General features: G+C 39.7%; 1 annotated feature.

Moving 5' to 3' along the window:
• Positions 22,156-22,450: a silencer, noted in NCBI's record as "tiled region #2819; K562 Repressive non-DNase unmatched - State 24:Quies". NCBI's record gives its function as "represses a minimal TATA promoter and a strong SV40 promoter by Sharpr-MPRA in K562 cells {active_cell/tissue: K562}" and the evidence as "EXISTENCE:reporter gene assay evidence [ECO:0000049][PMID:27701403]".

Raw genomic sequence — 25,255 nt, forward strand, 5'->3', positions numbered from 1 at the left:
TGAATTCTTCAGCTATTTCTTTTCTCCCTTTTCCCTTGCCTCCCTCTCTTTCCTAAAACAAACTGAAATTTTTATCCTAAGGCATTACAGTTTCAATGTGTACAGGATGCTGAAGTTTCATAGTAAAGTGCAAAGACTGGCAAACTATTTTCCATGGACTAGCTACTTGATTTCATAAAGTTTCATTGGAACACAACCACACACATTCGTTTACATGTTGTCTATGGCTACCATTCATGCTACAATGGCAGGCAGGGTTGAGTAATCCTGACAGAGACCATAAGGCCTGCAAAGCTTAAAATATTTGTAACTTGACCATTTACAAAAAAAGAATAACACCTGCTCCAATGTCTTAAAATGCTTAGAAAAGGACTGGAGCAACTTTAAAAGCAGGTAAATCTGGAAGTTAGGGTAAGGGGCGCCAGTCTGGCAAATACAGTCAGGTATCACTTAATGATGGGGATATGTATTAAGAAATACATTGTTAGGCAATTTCTTGTGCAAATAGCATAGAAGGTACTTAAACAAATCTAGATGCTGTAGCCTACCACACACCTAGGCTATGGACTAATTCCTAGACTACAAAATTGTATAGCATGTTAGACAATTATAACACAATTGTACGGGATCACTGTCATGTATGTGGTCCTTCCTTGACTGAAACGTCATTAGATGGCTCATAAATGTAATAGACATTCCAGTCTATGCTATGGTGGCTATCATAATTATAAACAAAGGAAATAAAAAAGAGAATCTGAACCAACATTTGAGAGGGCCTGCAATTAACCAGTTTGCCATATCTTCTCATGCAAGCCTCATATCAACTCTGTAAAGCAGAAGTCATCCCAGTTTCATAAATGGAGACTTGGAACACAGAGAGATGAAGAAACCTGCTCAAGGTCACATTAAGTGTGAGTGGAAGGATTGGAATTCAGACTTAAGTTTGACAGAGTCCACATCTTGTCCCCTTTCCACTGGGCTTCAGTCAATTGAAACTCAAATTTTACATTCCTGATTCTCTGAGTCAGGGCCTTTAAAATTATTTTTAAAGGGAAGCCCCCAAGAGGATTAACTTCTCTTCTGAAGAGTGAGTCTGTCAGCCTTACATGGCTATGCTTTAAATTCTGTCCTTTAGGCTTCCTGAAAGGTTAAAAAATTGTGGCTGTTCCTCTTAGTCACCAACCCCAATGCCCCCAAGTCCGATCAGTGTTACATTGCAGTAGAAATTTCAGTAAGATTGCAAAACCTTTTACTGCCTTTTACTTTCTTTCCAGAAAGTTAACCAACTGAAAAATTTGTTTGGGGATATTGGGGATCCCTTCCTTCCTACTCCTCTCTCTCCTTTCTTTTCTTCATTCTCTCTTTTTTTTTAAGGGAGTGTTTCGTTTTGTATTTTCTACAATAAAATCCACTTAGAGTGAACTTAGATTTTGTCACAAAACATCCTTTAAAACCAGTGAGTTCTGAAATTCTTTCAAGGCAAAAATTATTATGATTCTTTGGCAAATGTGGAAGCTTGTAACCGAAGGAGAATGACGGTAGGTACATATTATATTTACATACATCACATATGTGATTATATCAGAATTTTGTTATTTATTTATTTATATTTTTTGAGACAGTGTCTCATTCTGTCACCCAGGCCAGAGTGCAGTGGTGTGATCACGGCTCACTGAGGCCTCTACCTCCTGGGCTCAAGCGATCCTCCCCACTCAGCCTCTTGAGTACCGAGGACTACAGGTGCATGCCACCATGCCCAGCTATTTTTTGTATTTTTTGTATAGATGGGGTTTTGCCAGGTTTCCCAGGCTGGTCTCAAATGCCTGGACTCAAGCAATCTGCTTGCCCCGGCCTCCCAAAGTGCTGAGTTTATAAGCATGAGCCACTGCACCTGGCCAGAATGTTTATTCTTTGCCTTCAAAAGGAAACATGTCCTCTTTCAATTTTCTTGAAACAATCTTCCCTCTAGCCTTCTATTCAGTTTTCCAAATTTTGATAGAGTCATAACTATAGGAGAGATATGTCTCTATTACAAGAAAACAATGCAAGTACCATAACAAATGGCCCCATGTTTGGGGAATAATCAGAAATGGTGAGAGAGATGTGCAAAACTAGGGAGTACAAACTTCACATAAAGGGGCAGCACTGCTTAGCTCCAGCCAGCAATTGCTGCCATTCAGGAAAGCACAGGGTTCAGATCTTCCAATTTTCTATGATTGTCAAGAAATATACTTTTAATTGATTTTTAAAAATTGCTCAAATTGTAAAAAATATCATTTGGCCCCACAAATAAAATAAAAGGCAAGCAAACCAAAAAGACTCTTGCAGACTGGATTTGGTCTTCAGATCATGAATCTGTACCTCCCAATTTAAGTAAGTGAATTGGAGGTCTGGATTTCTGTATGAGTCTCCAGGCTGTTTGCATAGGGCAAGTCTTGCCTCAACACTGTCATCCAGTCTCATGTTCTGATAGAGTGAAGGCCCTGAGTTCCAAGGACCACCCGCCCCTGCTCATACAATTAATGCAACCCTGCAACCCTGCAAAAGAGGCTTCTTGGCAGTGAGCCAATTGGCCTTCCTTCTGCTTCATAGCATGCTCCATTGACCTGCACCAGTGCTCCAACGCTCGGCAGAAATAAGGATGGCAGACACTTTGTTTTCTGCTGTATGATTCCACGTGAGACTAACTGCTTTTATATTAGGTTCTTTCAAAAAGGCAAGAAACAACTATCAGATAGTAATTTTCCACCTTTTTCTGAACTCCCAGTTGTCAAGTGACGAAGACTTCCACAGACTAGCAGTAGAATCAAATGTAAAAAAAACAAAACAACATTATGGAAAAAGCTTTAAAAATGGCACTTGGATAGAGACGAAGTTTGGGTTTACTTTAATCTATAGGGATGCTGGAATTCTCCTGATTTGGTTTGGCCATGTCCCCACCCAACTCTCATCTTGAACTGTAGCTCCCACAATTCCCATGTGTCATGGGAGAGACCTGGTGGGAGGTAATTGAATCATGGGGGCGAGTCTTTCCTGTGCTGTTCTTGTGATAGTGAATAAGTCTCAAGAGATCTGATGGTTTTACAATGGGGAGTTTCCCTGCACAAACTCTCTTCTGCCACCATGAAAGTCAGGCTTTTGTTCTTCCCTCACCTTCTGCCATGATTGTGAGGCCTCCCCAGCCACGTGGAACTGTGAGTTCATTAAACCTCTTTTTCTTTGTAAATTACCCAGTATCAGGCATGTCCTTTTCAGCAGCATGAAAAGGGACTAATACATCTATGCACTTTTAATTTTCTGTAAACATAGTCAACCCAGAGAAAAACATTTCTGGTTAAGCACCTGGCTTTGCTCCCAGAAGTGTTCCTAGTATTCTAGAAATTAACTTTAGCCACAGCAGGCTTAAGACAGGTGCAGGGGTTGAGTTTGGGAAGCAAGAAGACCTGGCTCATAGTAGCCTTGGGAAGTGCAGCTTGACCTCTGGTCATCCTGGAGAGGATGAAATTATGTCTGCATTTCAAGGCTTCAAATCCTAACAATGCTGGGAAACTGGGAAGTTTCCAGGAGAAACAGCCTGCCTCTTTCTTCCTTTCCTAGGTAATTACAAGAAGTGTAAGTTATCCAGCCATTCTCTGGTCTTTTGTTTTTATATTAATTTCTGTTTGAAAATGTTTTCACTTCAAATAGTAATATGATGATGGCCATTGATCTTTAACAATTCTTGGAAATGCAGGCAGGTCAGGTGGTTTTCTAACGAGGACATAAAAGCTTAGCAGAAGGTGTTGGACTTTACCAAGGGTACTATAACTCAGTTTTTCTGAGTCGAACTTCGGTGTTTTTTTTTTTTTTTTTTTTTTCAGTGTCTGGAGAATCACCATTTTACACAATACTGCACCAATTCTGTTGAGGCCATCAACTTTTAAACTTGATTCATAGGTCTGTCATGACTTTGACCTCAATATTATATAAACGTTCCAGTAATTTCAGAAACAATTATTGACTAGTCCATAAACAGCCTGTACTAGACACTTTTCTGGGATTAAAAAATAGGTCTCAGTTTCTGTTGTTAAGAAATGGGCAATTTGCAGTTTAAAAGAAAATATTTAGGTGAAACTCCCAGGAAACAGAGGTAAAACTGAGAAAGTAGGTCTCATAGCATGTGTCAAATGGAGAACTAAGTACTTTATATATGCCATCTGATGTAATCCTTGCAACAACCCTCCCAGGCCACTGTGATTATTCACCTGACAGTGGAAGAAACTATTGAGTAACTTGCCCTAATGATAGAGCTGAGATTCAACCCCACTTCAACCAGAGGTCAAAGTTCTGGAGAGTGTCACTGTGCTATTCTGACTCACCAAACACACACAGAAGCCCATTGTGCTGGGGACTGAACACTTAAATGTCCAGAAAAATGTGGAAGTTGGGCATTCTTAGGGAAGTGCAGGTCCGGAGGAGTGAGCTGTTGAGTTAGATCTTGAAAGCAATGGTGGGCATGGATTGGTGAAGATTGGGTGGTGGTGAGAAGGTCAAGGATGGATGGGAAAAGCATGAGGAATTATGGAAGAGTAGGTTGGTACTGTGTAATGCAGTTGTTCTCAGAGGTCAGATGGCTTATCTGGTGGAGATCTATAGGGATAGCACAGTGGTGAGCTCTTGAAGCTGGATTTATAACTGTGCTCTTTGTTCTGAAGGAGAATGTGTTGCTTTTGCCAAATGCCCTCATTTCCTGAGATCAGGTACTTCCTGGGGTAGATGAAAAGCAAGGTTTTGCAAGATCTATGGGAGGACAGTGAAGGGGCTCACCTGAGTAAGGAAGAGTGGGCTGAACCATGCCTTTTCTTGAGAATTGTGAAGGCAAGTTTAAAGGGCCTCTTGAGGGTGTTACACACACTTGTTTCACAACACAAAGCTTTGTACACATTCTTGAAAGAGTGATTCAAATTTTGTACCTTTCAGAATCATGGCCCACAGATATATTTTATTTGATTGGCATATTTTGAGGAACTGGGAAATTTCATCTAAAAATTAATTGTTTAGTTTCTCTTGGAAAAAAAATCAGATGCTTGTCAACACTGAGTCCATATTCACTTATAATAATTGCTATATGTATGCAGTGCCTACTATGTTCCAGGCACTGTTTTGATGATATTAGTTTTCTTAAAAATTACATATGGTAGTATTGATGGTTGTCCCCATTTTTCAGATTGGAAAACTGAGGCAGAGGGAGCAGACTAACTCAACTGCAGTGATCAAGCTAGGATTTGAACCCAGGTAGTGTGGCTCTAACGTCCGAGCATTCATCAAGAATTGTACTACATTTCATGCCAGCTTGCGCTAGAGCTGATCTGCTCTTTTGTATGTGGCCAATTTTAAAACTGGCCTTTAAATTAGCCACAGATTGTTTGCTGCTCCTCCATAAAGAGGTGGAGGTCCATGTTCCCTCCTGTTCAGAAAAGAAGGTCTAAGGAGAAACCTTAGTGGTACTACTATAAAGGTATCTTAGAGATGCTCCAAGAAGGTCAGAGAGAAAACCAAGTGGCATTCAGTTTATATGTTCATCCATTCAGGCATTCAATTAGTCATTCAACAAGCATTAAGCATTTGTTCAGGCAAAGACACTGGGCCGGGCCCTCGTTAATATATAGGTGCATAGGATACAGTCCTTCCCCTCCAAAAGTGCTCCTGAGGGACCACCATGGAACTTCTTCTGCCTTTGAAAGCTATTGCTATAGAGGAGTAAAGAACTACTTCTCTACTATTACCGCTACTGGTAGGACAATTACTACTATTAACAATAATAACATATAATAGCTATAAACATAATTGTACAGCCCTTTACAGTTTATAAAATATTTTTACAATATACACTCTCATTTGATCTCCACAATAACTCTTCTGAGTAGAAAGGACAAATCTTTCCTCATTCACAGATGAAGAAGTAGAAGATGAGAGAATTTAAGCCCAAAGTCTTAAATTCCAGTGCCAAAGTGTGACACTAACAGGTGGTGGAGCTGGAGCTGGTTTCCTGACCTCCACTTTCTCTACTACATCCTCAGTATTTTGGAGCTGCAGTTGCTGCTAGAAGGTGATTCCCATCTTGTGAACTAAGCATGGCCCCACGCTTGGGAGACCTTATTTCCTGGAGGACTTTGGCCCGCTCAACCATTCCCAAAGGGATTCAATTCTGACATGGCATGACGGTAGAATGGTAGGACTTATTGGGCTTTCTGTGTAGTCCTCACTAAAGAGCAAGCATTTCTCTCCAGGATATGTTGTGCTGTTGGAGACGCAGGACCTTTGGGTGAGGACTCGTGGCAGCTTAGAGAGGCCTAGAGCCACATAACTGATCCTCTCACCTCATGGATGAGCCAAAGCTTTGGAAAAGAGGAGCTACGATGTTTTGTGCTGTTGCTTAGAGATCCCAGATTGGTGTGTCTAAATCTGCCCCCTCAATTCCCTCCCTGACCCATTTAGGACAGGGCATTTGGAGCCAGGACTCTCAGGCCAAGATGACAACTGAATGGCCAATGTCAGAAACCAGAAATGCAGCAGGAGTCTCTATGTGAGGCTGCCCAGAGCACAGAAACCCAGAGTCCTTGAGGAAATGGCAAGATTCAAATACGGGAAAAACATAAATCAAACACATTCCATAAAAAAAGAAATAAAACTGATAATAAATTTTCAGAAAGGTTCTCAGCTTCATTTGTAATAAAAATTAAAACAATGAAAACATTATTTTTCATCTCTTAGGTTGGCAACCATTTAAGAAATTTGAAAACATCCAATCTTAAAGATAGAGTGGGGAGACAGAACTCCAATTCCCTATCAGTGGACTGCACACTTCTTTTGGAGAGCTTTATAGCAACATCTATGATGAACATACACTTTGACCCAGCTACTCTATTTTGGGGAATTTTTCTGACAGATGTACTCATACAAGTGCACAAAGATACTGTGCAAGGAAGTACATTGTAACAATTTTTTAATAATAGTAAGAGTATGGAAACAATTATGATGCATATGGTATTCCCTAATACCAGGGGAACATTTTCTAAAATGTCCAAATGATATTGAGCAAAAAAAGCAAAAAGTAGAATAGCACATATGCTAGGAACTTTTTTGGTATAAAACAACAAAAAGACATATCTTACTCAAAGGAATTTTCCTCTCTCTCTCTCTCTCTCCATGTCTCTGTGTGATTCTTCATGGATGAAACATATCTGAAAGGATACATGTGCAAGAGTTAACAGTGGTTGCCAATGGGAGTGAGAGTGGGAAGACCAGTGTAGGAAGGGGTTTTAGTTTTTACTTTATTGACTTATACCCAACTTGAATATTTTTAACAGTTAATGTTTATTTTTTATAGTTCAAATAATATTTTAAATAAACTACTAAAGGGGTAAAATAAACAAGAAAAGCTGGCCGGGCACGGTGGGTCACGCTTGTAATCCGAGCAATTTAAGAGGCCAAGATGGGTGGATTGCCCGAGGTCAGGAATCCAAGACCAGCCTGGCCAACATGGCAAAACCCCATCTCTACTAAAGAAGTATAAAAATTAGCCAGATGTGGTGGCACACGCCTGCAAGCCCAGCTACTTGGGAGGCTGAGGCATGAGAATAGCTTGAACCCAGGAGGTGGAGGTTGCAGTGAGCGAAAATTGTGCCACTGCACTCTAGTCTGGCGACAGAGTGAGACTCTGTCTCAAAAAGACAAATAAACAAACAAACAAAACAAAACCCTGTAGTAGGAATATCAACTGTTATCAACATCAAGGCCAAATTGTCAAAGGTACTAATGATAATAACATGAATAATAATAGCACACACTTAGGGAGCATCTCTTTGTGCTAGATGATGTTTTATAATAAGCATGTTATATACATTTACTTATTTAAGACTTACAATAATCCTATGAGGTAGTTACTATTCATGTCATCTTTTTTATGCTGGGGAACTCAGGCATAAAGAGGTTAGAACTAATATACTCTAAGACACACAGCTGGGAAGTGGTTAAGCAGGTATGGGCGAGGGAAGTCTAGAGTTTGTGCCCTTGACCTTTATCCTACCTTGTCTCTCTAGGTAAGATAAAGACCCCTAAGTCCAGAATTGAGCTGAGGATTGACCTGGAACTGACAAGTAAGAGCCAGGAAATTGCTGTAACAGCCTTGGAGGTTTCTGTGCTCATATTTACCAGCCGCTGAGTACCTCATGGTATATAAGTTAAACTGCCTCAAAAAGCCAGAGAGATAATATTTCTTCCCACATGGGTTTGCCTAATTTGATTATTGTATCAAATTAGAGTTAGAGTTAGGTGGAGCCATATAATAGGAACCCTCTGCAAATTGCTTAAATAAGATAAAGGTTTATCTTTATGTTTTTGCCCATATAAAAGAAATCTAGAGTAGTCCAGAGCTAACTTGTGGCTGTATGAAATCAGACCAACTTTCCTTCCAGCTCTCCATCCACCATCCCTTGCATCCGTCCTTCATATTCACGGTCACAATGGCTATTGGGAGCTTCAGCCACAGCATCCATACTCCAGGAAGAATGGGGCAAAAAGAGAGGAAAGAGGGGCTGCATACCAGATATCTAAATATGCTTCTTGAAAGCTGCTAAACAGAAGTTTCCCTTAAATGTCATTGTTTAGAACTTAATCATTTGCTCACAGCTAAGGAATCTCACAGGTAAGGATGCTGGGAAAGTATATTTCAGACAGTCACTTGCCTGGGTAACAATGTAAGCTTCTATTACTAAAAAAAAGGGGGGAGAAGGGATTTTAGAGTAGGCAACTAGCAGTTCTGTCAGAAATGACCCATTCCTGGATGTTAAGACAGCGTTCTCATCCCACAGATTTGAAAGACAGAATACTATTCTGCTTATGACTTTGATCTAAGTAGCTGACAAAGGGTGCTTTGAGGACACTGGGCACCTAAGGGTGCAGAGTGGGTAGGCAGATATTGAGCAGGCATAGGGACTCTAGGCAAGGATGGAAAGTGCTGAGAAAATAAGTTCCACTCCCTCCACAATTTTTACAAGGGTCAAACTTGAGCTTTGACAATTTTACTTTATTAGAGCCTTTCCTACAAGAGGGCTTCCGTGCCACAGTTTCTACAAGGGCTTTTAACTTCTCATCTTTGGGAAACTAAGGAATGTTCTCATGTTCACTGCACTTCCATATGGTATGAAACTGAAGGGTCATTTTCTGAAGTCATCATTTTACTTATTGGTTTTCTCATCTGTACCTATAAAGGAATGGCTTTCTTAGAGGGATGTGCTGGAGAATAGTGAGGGGAAAACCAAACGGAAACCAAACAAAGTTCAAGGCTGAAAGAACAAGAGGTAAAGTTTTCCCAAATATTTCAGATTAATGGCAGGGCAGACCTACTGTAATGAGTTCTAATTGGCACCCCCATAAGCTATAACATTCTTACTTTGAGCTAAGTGCAGTCTAGGAAGACAAATTATTTTCTACCTTAGAAGACATCGAAGAAAATCCAGTAACTTATACTTTAGTAAAAACAAAGACAACAAAGATCTCAACCGTCACAATTGAGGAGAAAAACTGCAGGAAAGAATCAGATACTTGGGCATAAAATGACTCAAGGCAAAGACAGAGAATCACTGGCTCATGGGCCAAATCTGACCTGCTACCTGTTGGTATATAGCCTGCTTTTGTACAGTTGAGAATGGCTTTTACCTTTTTAAATAGTTGGAAAAAGTCAGAAGAAGAAGATTTCAGGAAGACACTGGAAAATAATAGGAAATTCAAATTGAAATTATCTGTAAATAAAGTATTATTGGAACACAGCAATACTTATTGATTTATGTATAGTTTATGGCTATTTCCACACCACAGCATCAGAATTATGAGTAGTTGCAGCAAAGACCGCATAACCTACAGAGCCCCAAATATTTATTATCTGACCTTTTATAGAAAAAGTTTGCCAGATCCTGATTTTAAGCACCAAAAAAATGCATGCCTCCATCGTCATCACTTAAAAGTTGTGTGACTCGAAAAATAATTTTTAAGTCTTCATTTTCCCATTGTTCTGATGCAAGTAAGAACGTATTTTACAGACTGTTGTGAGGATTCATTGAGCTAGGTTATGTAAAGTGACGTACCATGCATCCTGGAACATGGTAATTGGTCAATAAATGGCAGTTGCTGTTTACTATTTTGGTGGCTAACTTTTAATTATCACTGAACACTCAGCTTGCTGCTTGTGCATTCCCTGACCTCCCCAAGCTGGATCAGGTGACTTTCTCCTGTGCTTGCACAGTGCCCATGCTTATTTCAATCATTACTCACCACATTATGTTGTAATTATATATTCATGTGTCTGGCCCCTACTGCGAACCATGAGTTTCTTGAGGGAGGAGACCATATGGCTGTCGCAGTGAACATGATGTAGCAGGGCTGGAGTTTTAGGGGGTCCCACAGGTTGAGGATGTTGCTTCCTAATGTTGAACTCCGGAATTAGATACAACTTCCCACTCAGTCACAGGTACTACTGGGGCAAGACAGGCCTCCCCCAACAGCAGAGCTTGCCCCGTAGCTGTTAAGGAATAGAATAGGCTTGTGCCTTCTCCCAGACTGCTCAGTTAGACACATCACTTCTTTCCTGGGGAGGAGGTTGCAGGGTGGGGAAGGCGGCCAGGAGGGTGACTTTAGTGTTTCTAGTGGGAAACATGAAATAGTGGAGAATAGTGCTCCCTCTTAGCAAGTAGTCACTCCTTATATAAAAACCAAATGAATGACTCTTATGGGGTATGTTTCAACATTATCTTACTGTCTTTTCACTGTGCCTTAGAATTTGCCATCGTTGCCATGTGAAAATCAGTGGTACCTTTAGGCTGTCTCCTAGCTATATGGTTCTATGGGAAATACTGGGAAAGGCTTCATGTCATTCTATATTATCCCGATATTTATCTTTTCAAAGGCCAGAGCTTTGCTTAACATAAATGAATATATGTCACACATACACACACAGACATATTTTAAAAGACACTTCCTTCTGTGCTGCATATATTTTTCTTCTTTTACTTTTTTTCTTAAAATTTTTTTACTCTCATGATATCTTTTTAAAAGGCAAATAAAGGGAATTTTCTAGATTCTTGTGTTCATTCCTCTTCAGTTCACTTCAACAAATCTTGATTGGAAACTCTACTGCTGTGTAAGTGCTGGGTCCTGACCAGACCACATAGAGTTAAGAGCAGAAAGTCTTTCCTTTTCCATGGATGCTCCCTGCCCATGCAAGTGTCAGTGAAGAACAATAAAAGAAGAAAAGAGATAGAAGTTCTGATTAAAGGGATGGAATGCTCCTTCCTTTAATCAGAAGGAAAGATTAAATTTAGGGACATTCAGAAAATTTTTCCCACTCCAAGTGATGTCTGAGCAGGGTTTCAAAAGTAAATGGAGTAATAATCGTGGGGCAAGACAGGGAAGGGCATTTATTACAAAAGTCAGATTGCCGATGACATGGAAGCAAGAAGCAGCCAGGTGAGTTCTGGGTGTTCCAGATAACTTGTCCTGGCTGGCAGTAGACTCTAAGGGGTATGCTGTTAGAGGATGCAGGATAGACAGGTGGGGCCTGTGTGCCATTTCAGTGTAACCCACATCCTTCCAGGCCTCATCCCAAACAAGCATAAAAACAGTTACATTGTAATTAAAACCCACATTTCCTGGTCATGACACCCCTTTGCAATTCTGTGGTACCTCAGGTCTGTGCTCCAAGTGACATAGTCTAAGACTCCCCACAATGTCTCACAAGAGATGAACCTGTCACGTTCTGCCTCTCCATCTTCTATGTCTATGTGCACTCATCATGATAATGCTGCTTCCTTGCTCGCCTAACATCTTGGGGCATCCCTGAAGCTATGCAGTACCCATTGACAACATACTCCTCACTGTCCTCAGGCCACAGCATATCCCTTGAAGAAATGGAAAGACTGCCTATTTTCCTAACCCAGGAACATCATTTCTCTAGTGGGCACCAAACTGGTTGTGCCTGAGGTTTAACAAAAATCTGATAAAACTTCTTTAATTTTCATTTATAGCCCCCTTTTTCTTTGTGCTCAGGCCAAAGGCCTGGTGTTGGATTGGATTTCCGAAAGCTCATTGTCCCTTCCGTTGTCTTCTTCCCTGGACACACCCTCTTGTATATATTTTTCCTTAAATATCCCTGACTCCCAAAGAGAATAAATTCATGTTATTTGAGTTATGTGTCCAGGTGAGAGTTCAATCTAAATAAGTAGATTAGATTCTGGAGAGAACATGTAGCTACAGTAGAGAAAAAAGTAGTGAATAAAATCTTGGTGTTATGGACTGGATTGTGTCCTCTGCAAATGCGTATAACGAAGCCTTAATGCTCAGCACCTCAGCATCTGACTATATTTGGAGCTAGGGTCTTTAAAGTGTAAGTAAGTGAAAATGATGCCATTAGGGTGATCTGTAACCCAATATGACTGATGTCCTTAATGGAAGAGGAAGAGTTGCCAAGGATGTGCAAGCACAGAGAGAAGGCCATGTGAGGACACTGCAAGAAGGCAGCCACCTGCAAGCTGAAGAGAGAACCTTTGGGAGAAACCAAACCGAATTTTGGAAACCTTGCCCTTGGACTTCCAGTCTCCAGAATTGTGAGACAGTAAATTTCTATGCTTGAAGCCACCCAGTCTGTGGTATTTTGTTATGGTAGCCTTGGCATGTATATGGAGAACACCAATGATAAAGAAATGGATGTTGAGGGGGACAGAGGGTGGGGTGAGGGCAGAGCCTCCTTCACCCTGACTCATATTTCCACACTGAGGGACTTGCAGGACTTCTGTTGGAGTAACAAGCCTGACCTCTCATTGCCCTGTCAATTAGAGGGCAGAGGAGTTGCTTATCAGTTTGGTGCCTTTGAAAGGAGGAACTGTCCTTTCAAAGCTGGGAAGGCTCAATCCTTTCTTCCCCATCCCATTTGGCATCTGCCTCCCTATAAAGAGCTCTTTGAGAAGCAATTAAAAATTTTCTGCCCCCATAAGGAGGCCTATGAGGGTTTACCACTGCCTGCAACTCAGTAAACATGTCTACTCTTGAGTTTCAGTTTTAGGAAATTCATTATCGTTGCACAACTAAACCACATCTCCAATATAGCTTTCATCAGTAAATATAGCTTACATTTTTATCTCCACTTGCCTGACTTTCCTGTCTGTCTTCCAGTTGCAAGAAAAGAAGGTATTATTTATTGGGCCCCCACAAACCCACAACAGGAGGAAACACAGTTTCCAAAGGATACTTAGAGTTTGCATCCATAAAAATAGGAAGCAAGCCAGGAGAGCATGTATTAAAGTCACTAGGAGTGATAGCCTCAGCAGTGGTCAACAGCACTTCATCTTGGCAAAGAGGTCAAGGAAGATAAAGACTGAAAAAGTGCTCCCTGGACTTAGCAACTAGGAGAGTATTGGTTACCTAGGCAACAGCCACTTCAGGGTTTTGTGGGTAGGGTGGGAAATGCCACAATGCAGTGTGCTGAAGAGGGAAGAGAGATGGGAGACTTTGATTGCTCTTAAAAGAATCTTGAGGGGGGAAAGAGGAGTAACTGGATAATAGAGGGAACTTGAATTTGAAGGATTAATTGTTGTTTATTTTAGTGTAAAAGTCCCAAGCTTGCTTACATATGGAGGGAAGAGAGTGACGCGAGAGACAAGTTGGAGATACAACATAGAGAATACCGTTGATGGATGGGGATTCCAGAAGAAGCAAGATGGATCCTATGGCAAATTGCATTATTATGCAAAATTAAGAGGATTATATATCTCCATCCCATTGACTTTGGGCTTGGCCATTTGACATGCTTTACTCAGAAGAATATGAGTGGACTTGACATACATCATCAGTTCTCTTATTCTTCCCTTTTACTGTGAAGATGATGTGTTCTACCTGGGGTCTGCTTTCTCTGCCTGCATCCTGGAATGAGAAGACTTGTGCAGTAGAACTGTAATCTAGAGGAAGTCATAGCTGTCCCACCGATGACACACATACAACAAAGAAGTACAACTTTAAAATTGTAGGTCACTAAGATTTTGGGGTTTGACATTATAGGAAAACTAACTAATACAGATCCCAAACAGAGAAGAGCTTGCTTTCACAAACGGGGAATCAGAACCAGAGGAAAGGTTTAAAACAAACAAAAAAAGAACAAAAAGGGAGGAAACATTTCTTATATGGAAGAGGGATTGAAGGAGGGAAGGATAGTAATGAGTGCAGATCATTTTTTAGTGGGTAAGGCAAAAATTGAGTCCTGTCAATCTGAGGACATGTTGAAGGCATCAGAGCCTCACTCACACTCTCTCTTATCTTTTCATTTATTTTTCTCTACATGGAAGCTGATTTTGCAGGGGCTTTTGGCCTAGCAGTCATTTGCAGACTCTTTTCATATTAAAATTGGAAGGAGATTTACCAGTTTTGCCAACAAAGTTCCTCATGCAAAAATGGAAAGACAAGAGGCCCACAAACTTTTTGCTTGTTGAAGACGTTTGAAATGTCTGAGATTGCATCTTGCTAGTCTGACACGTGCACCACTGAAGGTTCAGACCGTAACAACAAGGTCTATTTCTTTTATATTGAGATAGTTGCCACATTGATAGACCAAATTAGGTGGGCATCCTGAGAAAATGATGGAGATAGCTTAAATTTGATATGCCTTAGGAAAGGTGGGTCAATATAAATCTCATTGAATATTCATTCACTCATTCAATTATTCATTTATACAATCTGTGTTTGTTGAGCCAAGTACTACACTAGCTATTGGAGATAGGGTAAAAAAACAAAGAAGCCATTGTCTAAATCTGTGGTTTTTTTATAGTGCTTCTTTCAGCTTCATTGGTTAAAACATCCATTTATGCTTTTTTTCTCCTTGTATTTTCTATTCTTACCTCTTGTACCATATCTTGCTTCCGGTATCTGGTAGAAGCCAGAGCCTTAGTAAAAGCAACCTCGAGTCAATAACTCTTTTTGTCTTTTGTGAAATCCTATGTGTATTTAAAAAGATCATGTCCCAGAGAGAGAGATGAAACAGTGAAGTCTTTGAGGGCAAAGAAATGGAGAGAAATTCCTTTGAATGGAAAAGAGGAGAAAGATTTATGTGTTTCCAGACTAGCATAGATGTGTATACTATATACTGCTATGTGGCTCCCTGTATCCTGAAGAGGATACAGAACTCAGAAGTTAAGACTATAATGAGTGCCTGGGGAGGTGGGACCTGTATCATGAAGGTATCCAGCCTTAGAAAGTGTTTCCTGACACTTGAGTGGCACAGGAGTTAATAAACATGAGAGGCTGGAGCTCAGAGGCTTGGACTCTGAGATATCAATGGTCATCACATAAAGATTAGAAGGCCATATCTTTTCTTTTTTTTAAAAGATATTGTTTATGTATTTTATATCCTGATGGAAACCTGGGAGACAGGAGACCCATATAATGTCCGAGATTGAATATTCTGCCAGCCTGGTTGAATGGAGTAGAGAATCAGAATTAAATTGAATTTAAAAAAGACAAGGGAAGTTATGTTTCTTATAGTTTTTAGTTTATGCATTTCACATGATGTGAATCTTCTTCCTCAGCATCCCACTCTTCTGACCAGAAATCAGGTTACTTTTTAGATTCTCAATAACTCTCCAAAGCTCCTAACCACCATGAATTTTGGGCATAAACTTTTCTGCCTTCTTGTAGGGAGTATGAAAATGTTATCTGTGGCATCCCCAGATCAATGGGAACCAATGCCCATTTCATTAGGAATGATTCACACTTCTCAAAGGCAAAGTGCTCAAAGCAATAAAGTCTTCTTGGCCTAACACCTTATGTTTCTGTGGGTACAATTTAGAATTTGCTAAGAAGGCCAAGAGGCCAAAATTAGGGTATGATTCCCTTACCCAAGGCCAGAAGGGGAAGACAATCAAGATCTAGAGTAGCATCAAACATCAAGGTTAGCAAAGCTAAATATTGACTTCTGTCCAAAGGGCAGAAGATCCCAAACAAGGCAGGCAATCAAAGGTCAGAAGCTGAGAGCCAACTGGACTGAAATGGAAGAGGTTTAGAAATAAGTTGTAGAAGGACCCGGAATACTGCTTCTGAAGAAGCTCCCGATGTTTGATAGAGGGGGGCTATTTTCCATTTTTCTTATTGACTATGCTTCTTATTTACTTTATTTTATGAAGGTTTAATAAAAATTCATGGGCAAAAAATACTAGTTAAAGAAAATCTAGCCAGGTGCGGTGGCTCATGCCTGTAATTCCAGCACTTTGGGAGGCCGAGGTGGGCAGATCATGAGGTCAGGAGATCGAGACCACCCTGGCTAACGCGGTGAAAGCCTGTCTCTACTAAAAATACAAAAAAAAAAAAAAAAAAAAAAGAAAAGAAAGAAAATCCTTTTATTGACACCCCCACCACCCGCCAAAACTGAGAAAAGATGACTATTATTATCTTTCAGTAGCGGATCACACCATATCAGTCCAAGAACACCACTGTTGAGTGAGAAATCATTTGATAACAACTGCCTTCACTGTGTTACAGAATCTTCCACAGCTCTTCTGTTTCCTTCTGTTGTTTCTTGATGAGTGTGGTATTAAACTATGTGACAGGAACCATATTAGGCACAGAAGGTGCAGAAACGAGAAGCCCATAGTCTAGAGTGCTGCCCAATAAAAATATATAAATATATAATACAACCCCCAAGTGGGAGCCACATGAAACAGGTGAAATTAATTGTAATGATATATATTTATTTGTATATTTGTGATTCAACTCAATGTATCAAACCATTATTTTTATTTGTTCATTTTTTAAAAATGACTGAAATACTAAAGTGTAAATACACGCACATGTGTGTCTTTGGAACCTTAATTCACACCACCTCCTTCAGTACACTTAACGCTCCAATCCTACTGAAAGTACACAGTTCCCTCAAACTGCCATTATATTTCACGTCTCTGCTGGGACTCCCCTTGTCCTTCTTGTCTGTGGAGAGAACTCCTACTCATCTTTCAATCTTGGTGCAAACATCTCCTCTGGAAGTCTTCTCGGGGCTTCCCAAGTGGAGTTGATGACTCCTTTCTTTCTGCCATTAAGGCACTTGGAAGAGTGTCCTGTCATTGCACTTGTTATGCTGCTTTATAACTGCAGATTCACATCCGCCTCTCCTCAGACCTGGGACTATTGAGAGCAGAGGGCATGTCACATTCACCTCTTCCTTACTCCAAGTCTTAAATTACAGACATACGTGAAGCCCCCTAAAATACTTCTAAATACCTTCCTTGATGGTAGAGAGTTTCTTTGCCCAGCTATTATAAATTTCTTATTTAGACATAGTGGATAAACTATGGATAATAGGATTGTATAAAAACTAGTAAACCAACCTGTTTTATTTTCAAAATTAAGAAATAAGACTGCTTTAGAAGCCAGATTCTCCACATTATATATCATCAGACTTTCAAAGATTTCAGTTAGACTCATTCTATGTATGAACCAGATAGATTAGCCTGAGATAGAATCTGGTTGAGAATAATAATTTAGGTGCTTTTCAGTGCTCCCTTGGCTCTTCTGACTCTGGGGTGTCATTTTACTGAATGAGTATTTCAGTTTATTCAAGGGTACCTTGGTCCACAAGAGAAGTAACCCAGAATCCCCAAATGTTTGCAACTAGTGAATTGCACATGTATCGGGCCATCTATTATGGAACAAAGGCTTCGAAACTAATTTTTAAAAAAGAGGCATTTGAATTAAATTTATTTCTGTAACTCACTTTTCAAGCAAGTGTCATGAACATTTTACTTTTAGATTTAAAGCTTAAACAGCTGTGGAATACTTGGTGTTCTATGATAGTTTTTTTATAGATCTCTCTGTTTTCTCAGATGACAGGGCTATTAATGTTGACTTCCAAATAGTTTTGATTCTGTAAGAAAAATTTATAAAAAATAATTTTAGTTCCTGGGAAAAAAATTAACTCATTTCAAATGCCCTATCAAACATCTGATATCCAAAAAAATACAGCATGGATAAAAATATAATTTAGAAAAAATGCCAAAGAATATTTGGGTAATGTTACAGAGAACATAATATTTTCTCTTTGCATGTTATGGAAACGAACCTGAGAGAAATCTTTTCATTACTGTTCAGATTGCTAAATACTTACGTTCTTTAAGTCTGGCTTTTGATATTATTTTTGAATTTGTGTTTTTATTAGATGGGTGCAAAAGTTATGGAAATTTTGGCCATTTCTTTTAATGGAAACGACTGCAATTACTTTTGCATCAACCTGATACGATCCAGGTTTTATTTAAATGCTAAAAATACAAACAACTCTTTCCCATCTATAAAAATAGAATAGAAATGGCATAAAGCAATATTCATAGGACAGTTGTTGAGATTGGACTACTTCAATAAGGTCTACTCTGCTGAGAAATATGGAAATATTTCTCATATATTTAGAAACAATGATATGGAAACAATGAGAATAATGGGTTTTCCCTTGTGGCACCCACATAAGCAACATTCTGTTTTCAGGAGGTACACAGCGTTGACAAAATGCCCTCCTTCATTGCAGTGAATTTTCATTGCTATTATAACAGTAAAAGTGTATATTTCTTGCCTATGAAGTTTTAACTTGTGAATTAATAAATAGGATGCCTAGGTATGTTGTCTCTAGTCATTAAATGCAAAGGTGAAGTTGTTCTTTCATGGCAGGTGGGCCAATTAGCATCTTTAAAAGGTGCTATCATTATGATAACAAAAAAAACCCCCAGGTTTGCTGATGAATAAAGATTTCATCTCAAAAAGCATTTTGAAAACATGGACTAATTAATCTGACTCAGAATGCTCAAATAAAAATATGTTCTCTGCTCTTAGACCTCTAGCTTAACAGAAGTACATTGAGAAACAAAGAGGGATAAACAGGAAAATTATATTTCCCCTTTGCCAGTTGTCATCCAGTTGCAATACAGCTTTTCAATGGCTATTTGTGTCAGAAAGAAGACAACCTATATTTTACCATGGAAAACATATTTTTTTTTTTTTTTTTTTTTTTTTTTGAGACGGAGTCTCGCTCTGTCGCCCAGGCTGGAGTGCAGTGGCGGGATCTCGGCTCACTGCAAGCTCCGCCTCCCGGGTTCACGCCATTCTCCTGCCTCAGCCTCCCAAGTAGCTGGGACTACAGGCGCCCGCCACTACACCCGGCTAATTTTTTGTATTTTTAGTAGAGACGGGGTTTCACCGTTTTAGCTGGGATGGTCTCGATCTCCTGACCTCGTGATCCGCCCGCCTCGGCCTCCCAAAGTGCTGGGATTACAGGCGTGAGCCACCGCACCCGGCCGGAAAACATATTTTTTAAAAAAATAGTTACACTTTTATATCTGGAAACATCGTCAAATAGACAACCTGAAACTCTCCTAACAAAAACACCTCATAGTGCTAGTTATATCTTTTGAAAGCATAACTTAGATTATCAGTAAATAAGGGAAGACACTGGATGCCCAGAGAGCTATAAAAGAGTGTGTCAATATCGTCAAACTGTGCAAGTCCTAGAGTGGGTGCTTCTTGCCTTGGTAACCTAGGGTGCTAGGCTTACACACTGGCTCAGGAGAAAATGGGCTCGTATGAAACAAAAGATTGTAGCTGAGACCATTGTGTAAAGCCTGAACCCTTCAAAAAAACCTTAAAACTTCAGAAGGTTTCTAGCTTCAGGAGGGCTAAATCCAGTTGTGCAAATAATGCCGTCAGGAAATTGCCTAGTTCTCTCTCTTTCTCAGCTCTGTCTTCCTCACTTTGGGATTTACTCTCAGGAAACCATTTCTAATTGATGGTTAACATGGTCACCAGAATTTCCAGGTTTACCTCACTCTCACAGATAGAGATCACAATCACAGAGAACATAAATTCCTTTTTCCTGAGAGTTTCAGCAAACGTTGACATTCTCTGACCTGCTGACATCAAGTGTTGATCCCTCAGCTGATCCTGTGACCCAAGGATGGAGTTCTCTTCCTGTGTGTCCTCCCTGATCCAAGGGGATGAAGTTCTATCAAACCGTATGAACCAAGAGTTAAGGAAATAAGGAAAGGCATGGTTCTAAAACAAAACAAAAAAAAAAAAAAAAGAAAAAGAAAGGCTGGGAGGCAAACAACAGATACTATTTCCTAAAAACATTGCCACTTTAGTAAAAATGATGTAGAGATTACCAGATGATTTTTTTTCACCTGGCTTTATTCTTAATCAGGGAAACCAGATCTAGCAATGTTTATGATATAAAGTAGTAGAAGATGACTACTCTTTTGTCTCTATCTCTTGTCCAGTAGCAGGAGTGAAACTGAGACGTTAATCTAACTTGGATTTACCTTTATACATAGTCCTAGTTTGTTGTTTTTTCCTCCCAGCATTTCCAATCATGCTGCATTCTCAATAAACATACATTGAACTAATAACTAGCTGCACTCCTAGCACTCCCCGTACTCCCCTTACTTAGGATCCTAGTGGAAGAGGAAAAACTGCAAGACCTGTGTGGAGTCTAGAATGGAGGTGGCTTTCCCTTCAGCCCTGTATCCAGTCTTTAAGAAAAAGGAGAAAAAGTAGGAATGGAAAGAATGAGAAAAATTGAGGGGAGACCGAGAAAGGATTCTGCTGTTTTTTACATAGCTCATGAGCTACTTTAACTGAGAACCACATGGAATTAGGTAAAATTCAAAGGACAGTGAGACTAAAACATCATACATTGAGATTGTATCAGTGAAGTATTTGATTAACTGTAAGTTACTACATAAATGTGAGAAATTCAACTGCATTTTGTCCCAAGTTCTTGTCTTTTTTGTTTCTTTGCAGATGTAATTGAGCAAACTGTGTTCTATAGAACATTCTGTGAAATAGATTCTGAGAAAATGTTTCCACAGTCATATCCATTTGGTAAATCCAACATATCTGTAGTCGTCTTGTCTATCCATTCTTATTCACATATTAAAGGTCATATATATAGAAATTCTTAAATTTTATTTAGTCCAGTATTGACCATTGGACCTTCCAACCCCCTCTCTCTCTCCTGTCCCACTCCCCTTTTTTTCTTTTTCTTTTTCTTTTCCTTTTTTTTTTTTTTTTTTGAGACCAGGTCTCATTCTGTCTGCCAGGCTGGAGTGCAGTGGCGAGATCATGGCTCATTGCAGCCTTGACCTCCCCAGGCTCGAGGGATCTTTCCACCTCAGCCTCCCTAGTAGCTAGGACTACAGGCATGCACCACCATGCCTGGGTAACTTTTTTTTTGTGGAGATGGGGTTTGGCCACATTGCTCAGGCTGTTTCAAACTCCTGGGCTCAAGCAACTGCCCACTTTGGCCTCCCAAAGTGCTAGGATTATAGGTCCCATTTTTTTTTCTAGTAACACTTGTTAATATCTGGCAGAACTAGCATGTCTTTCTGCATATCCTAAGAAAGACTAATTTTTTTCTCCTCTAGGAGGAACTACATGTGGAAATCAGTAATTGACTTACAGACACATTTTTGTAGGTTTCCCATGCTACTGCTTCTCCTTCTTCTTCTCCTATCTCTCTACATCTCCCACTTCCCCACCCACTGACCTTTGCTAATGATATTAATCATAAAAATGCTGATTGTTTTCAGACACAGTCTTATTCAGCCTTTACATTAAGGCAACTGGGTATGTTTCTTCACTTCCTGAACGAAGAATATGGGGGTCAGAAGCTTGCTTGGGGCCATGTGATTAAAGACATCAGTTAAGACTTAGCATTGTTGCTGACAACAACAACAAAAAACAGTAGTTGGATTGTAAGGGAGTTGAAAAAAATGGTGGCTTGCTGGAACCAAGGGGGTGAAACTGCTGTCACTTCCCTTTTACAGGCTCCCCGGGAGTCATTCTCATACATGGAACTCTGCTCAGCTTTTCATTTACCCCAAACATTGTTTCCTTAAATCATTGTTCTCAAGGTTACTTAGAGACAAAGAATACTTAAGTGATTATGACAGTCACAGTTATGGTACAAATTATGTGTACCGCACTATTGAACAGCATACACATTTATTCACAATAGCCAGCAAAATACCTGTAGTAGCTAAGATGTAGGATAAGATCAGGTTTTGGGTAAGATGAAATGGAGCTAAAATTTCAAGTTTGACACAGGTCACGTTTGGGATTATTGTTTTTGGATTATTGGAAAAGAAGTAGTACCACAGATTTGCCAGAACCTAATGTCTGCCTGGCTTAATTCAAACAGTTGGTAGTTATTGATTGCTGGGGAAAAGTGGAGAATAGAGGAATGGAAAAAGAGAGGAAGGAAAAGTAGGTGGTAAGTACAAGGTCCACTCAGCTACAGAGTCCATCTTCTTCCTGTAACACCTCACTGAACCTACTAGCCTTTATCATGCAAGTCATTGAATCTCTTGAATCTTATTAATAGTTTTTTATCTGTAAAATGGGAGTGATGGTATCTTTTTCAGCTACTTTGCAAGGTTGTTTTAAGGCTAAACAGAAAAAGATAGAACATATACAGGGTTCACTATGAGTAAGAAGTAATATAAATGTCTTTACACATTTCACAACACAGTAATGAACATGTATAAATCCAACTTGGGACTATGTGACATGATAAGTATGACACACATGCTGCATATGTGGGGGCCAAGTGAGCTGCATATGTTCAGTGAGCCTGAATGAGGCTCTCTGCAGTTTGGCAGATGGACTACACAAAGCAAAGAAAAAAAATCTGAAAAATAGAAATGGCATAATTGAATTATTCTAATGAATTAAATCAAAGTCACTCTCAGAATTGGGAAAGAGTGTCGTTAACACTGGTTCTGAACAGTTATTTGGAACCGAGTTCAACTATTGCTCTGTGGCCTTGGCCCTTTGCTTCAGTCTTTGTTTGCTTTTTTGCTCTTTTCAGTTGGTGTGTTCCTAACTTGATGACCTTGTTTCAGGCTCCGGGAAAATGCCAGTGGCCAGAAAATCACATTTGAGGGGTTGATTTGTCTCCCTTAACCTCTCTCTGCTACCTAAGACGTAATGGAACTAACATTTCAAGGTGGCCCCAGGTTAGGATTTAGATTATTACTTGGGAACAAGAGTATGGCCACGAATTTGTCAGGCAAGTACTGAACAAAATGTCCTACTCACTTAAAAGTCAAAGGTGCTTGAGAGGTTGATTTCAGCTTTTGCACGTAGGACCACTGATTTACCTTAAAAAAAAAGGAGAAAACCCCAGAAAGTTTTGGGTCCTCATATTCTTCTTGGATGTTTAATATTCTAAAGAAATTATTGAATTTGAAATTTTGTTAGTGTTTCAGGCTTTTGTTTTCATTTTTTTGCTTTTGATAGAAAAAAAATACAAGTGTCTAGGCCTGAAAATAGGGTCAATTCCTGAAATTCTTTGTAGGAGCCTCAGGTAAACTTTATTTATCTGAGTTTATCATGCTAAAATGTCCTGGCCCTAGACAAAAAATTCTTTTTGATAGTAGAGACCAAACATGTCTTGATAAAGCTGTCAAATTTGTAGACTGATTGACCTGGAGATATGATTTCCATTATTGCTTTTGATGGTTCTGGAATTTATATCAAGAGATAAGGCATTTGGCCTTGGGAGACAATTTCTATTGCTGGGGGCAGGGGATGTACATCATTGTAAGTGCATGAAATTTTATGAACCAGTTGGGTTAGTTTACTCCAAGAGTTTCATAGCCATTTATTCCCTCCTGCTCAGTGGTAGTCAGGACTGTTTTGTAGAAGTCATATATGTATGACTTTCCCACTAGAGCCTTCAGAGTCAACAGTGAACAGACATGACTTGATTCCCAGATCCTCTGTCTCCTAGCGTTAGGAATTTGGGCAAACACTTTCCCTTGGTACATCTCAGTTACTGCTGGTTTTATGAAAATAATATTGCCTACCTGGGAGGATTCAGGAAGGCATAAATGATCCTAGTGTGCCCCCCAAATTTATATGTTGAAGCCCTAAACCCCAGTGTGATAGTATTTGGAAGTGATGTCCTTGAGAGGTAATTAAGTTTAGATGAGGTGGTGAGGGTGGGGATAGGATTAATGTCCTCATTCGAAGACAAAGAGAGACCCCTGCTCTCTCGCTTTCTTCACCATATGAAGACACAGAAAGAAGCTGGCCTTTTATAAGCCAGGAGGAGATCCCTAACCAGGAGTCAAATTGGTTGCCACCTTGATGTTGAGCTTTGCAGACTCCAGATTAGAAATAAATGTCTATTATTTAAGCCACCCAGTCTGAGGCATTTTATTACAGTAGTGCGAGCTGAGACACTAGTACAAGTGCCTGGCACTTTACTATTATTTATAAACATCCTCCAAAAGGATTGATTATACAGTATTTACAAATCTTTGTTTTGATTTGAAACTTTTACAGTTTGTAAAGTATTAACATTTTGTGTGTTAAGATCTCGAGGCAAGTATTAAAATTTCTCACTTTAAAGATGAGGAAACTGAAGCAAAGAGATAGAAAATGAATTTTTCAAAAGTCACACTGTAAATCATGGCAAAACTGGAAATCTATTTTAGCTGAAGATTATTCCTTATTGCCTAGTATAGGGCTTGGCTTTTAGTAGGTCTTAATGTTTTTGTTGAATAAATGACTGAATGGAAGTCCTTAAAAACAAAAATTATCTACATTTCAAGTTCATTGCAATTTTTTATGTGCTAAAGCTTCCTGTCTAAACCAGGGTCATGTTTACCGGTAATCACAGCAGAATTATGGGCATTTAGATAAAGTAGAGTTTGCTTAATCTAAGTGGGGACTGAATCATGCTTTTATTTTCCAGATTGTTAGAGGAATTCTCTTTAATTTTTTTTTCTTTTATAGAGCCAGAGTCTTGCTAAGTTGCCCAGGCTGTTCTTGAACTCCTGGACTCAAGAGATCCTCCCACCTCAGCCTCCCAAAGTGCTGGGATTACGGGTGTGAGGCACCAGGCCTGGACTGGGATCTTCTTTTAAAAAGAGGCTTATTGTGTGTGCAGTCTTCAGGGCACTTCATTCAGATGGCTGAAGCACCCTCAGCTATCTGGAAGGAGTGATTTACCAGCAACAAACTGCTCATCAGGTTACCTGAAAAGGATGAACTCATGAATCTTTAGTCTTGAGACCTAAAGTCCACATAAGCCACAGAACATGCTCCACCAGGAAACATGCCTCCAACTAAAGGAATACATTCCTTTGATTTCCCCTAGGCTGTCCAGTGTAGGACATCCCTTGCTTGAGTGGAAAAGGTA

This window comes from Homo sapiens, chromosome 8, assembly GCF_000001405.40.
Source record: "Homo sapiens chromosome 8, GRCh38.p14 Primary Assembly".
Taxonomy (NCBI): Eukaryota; Metazoa; Chordata; class Mammalia; order Primates; family Hominidae; genus Homo; species Homo sapiens.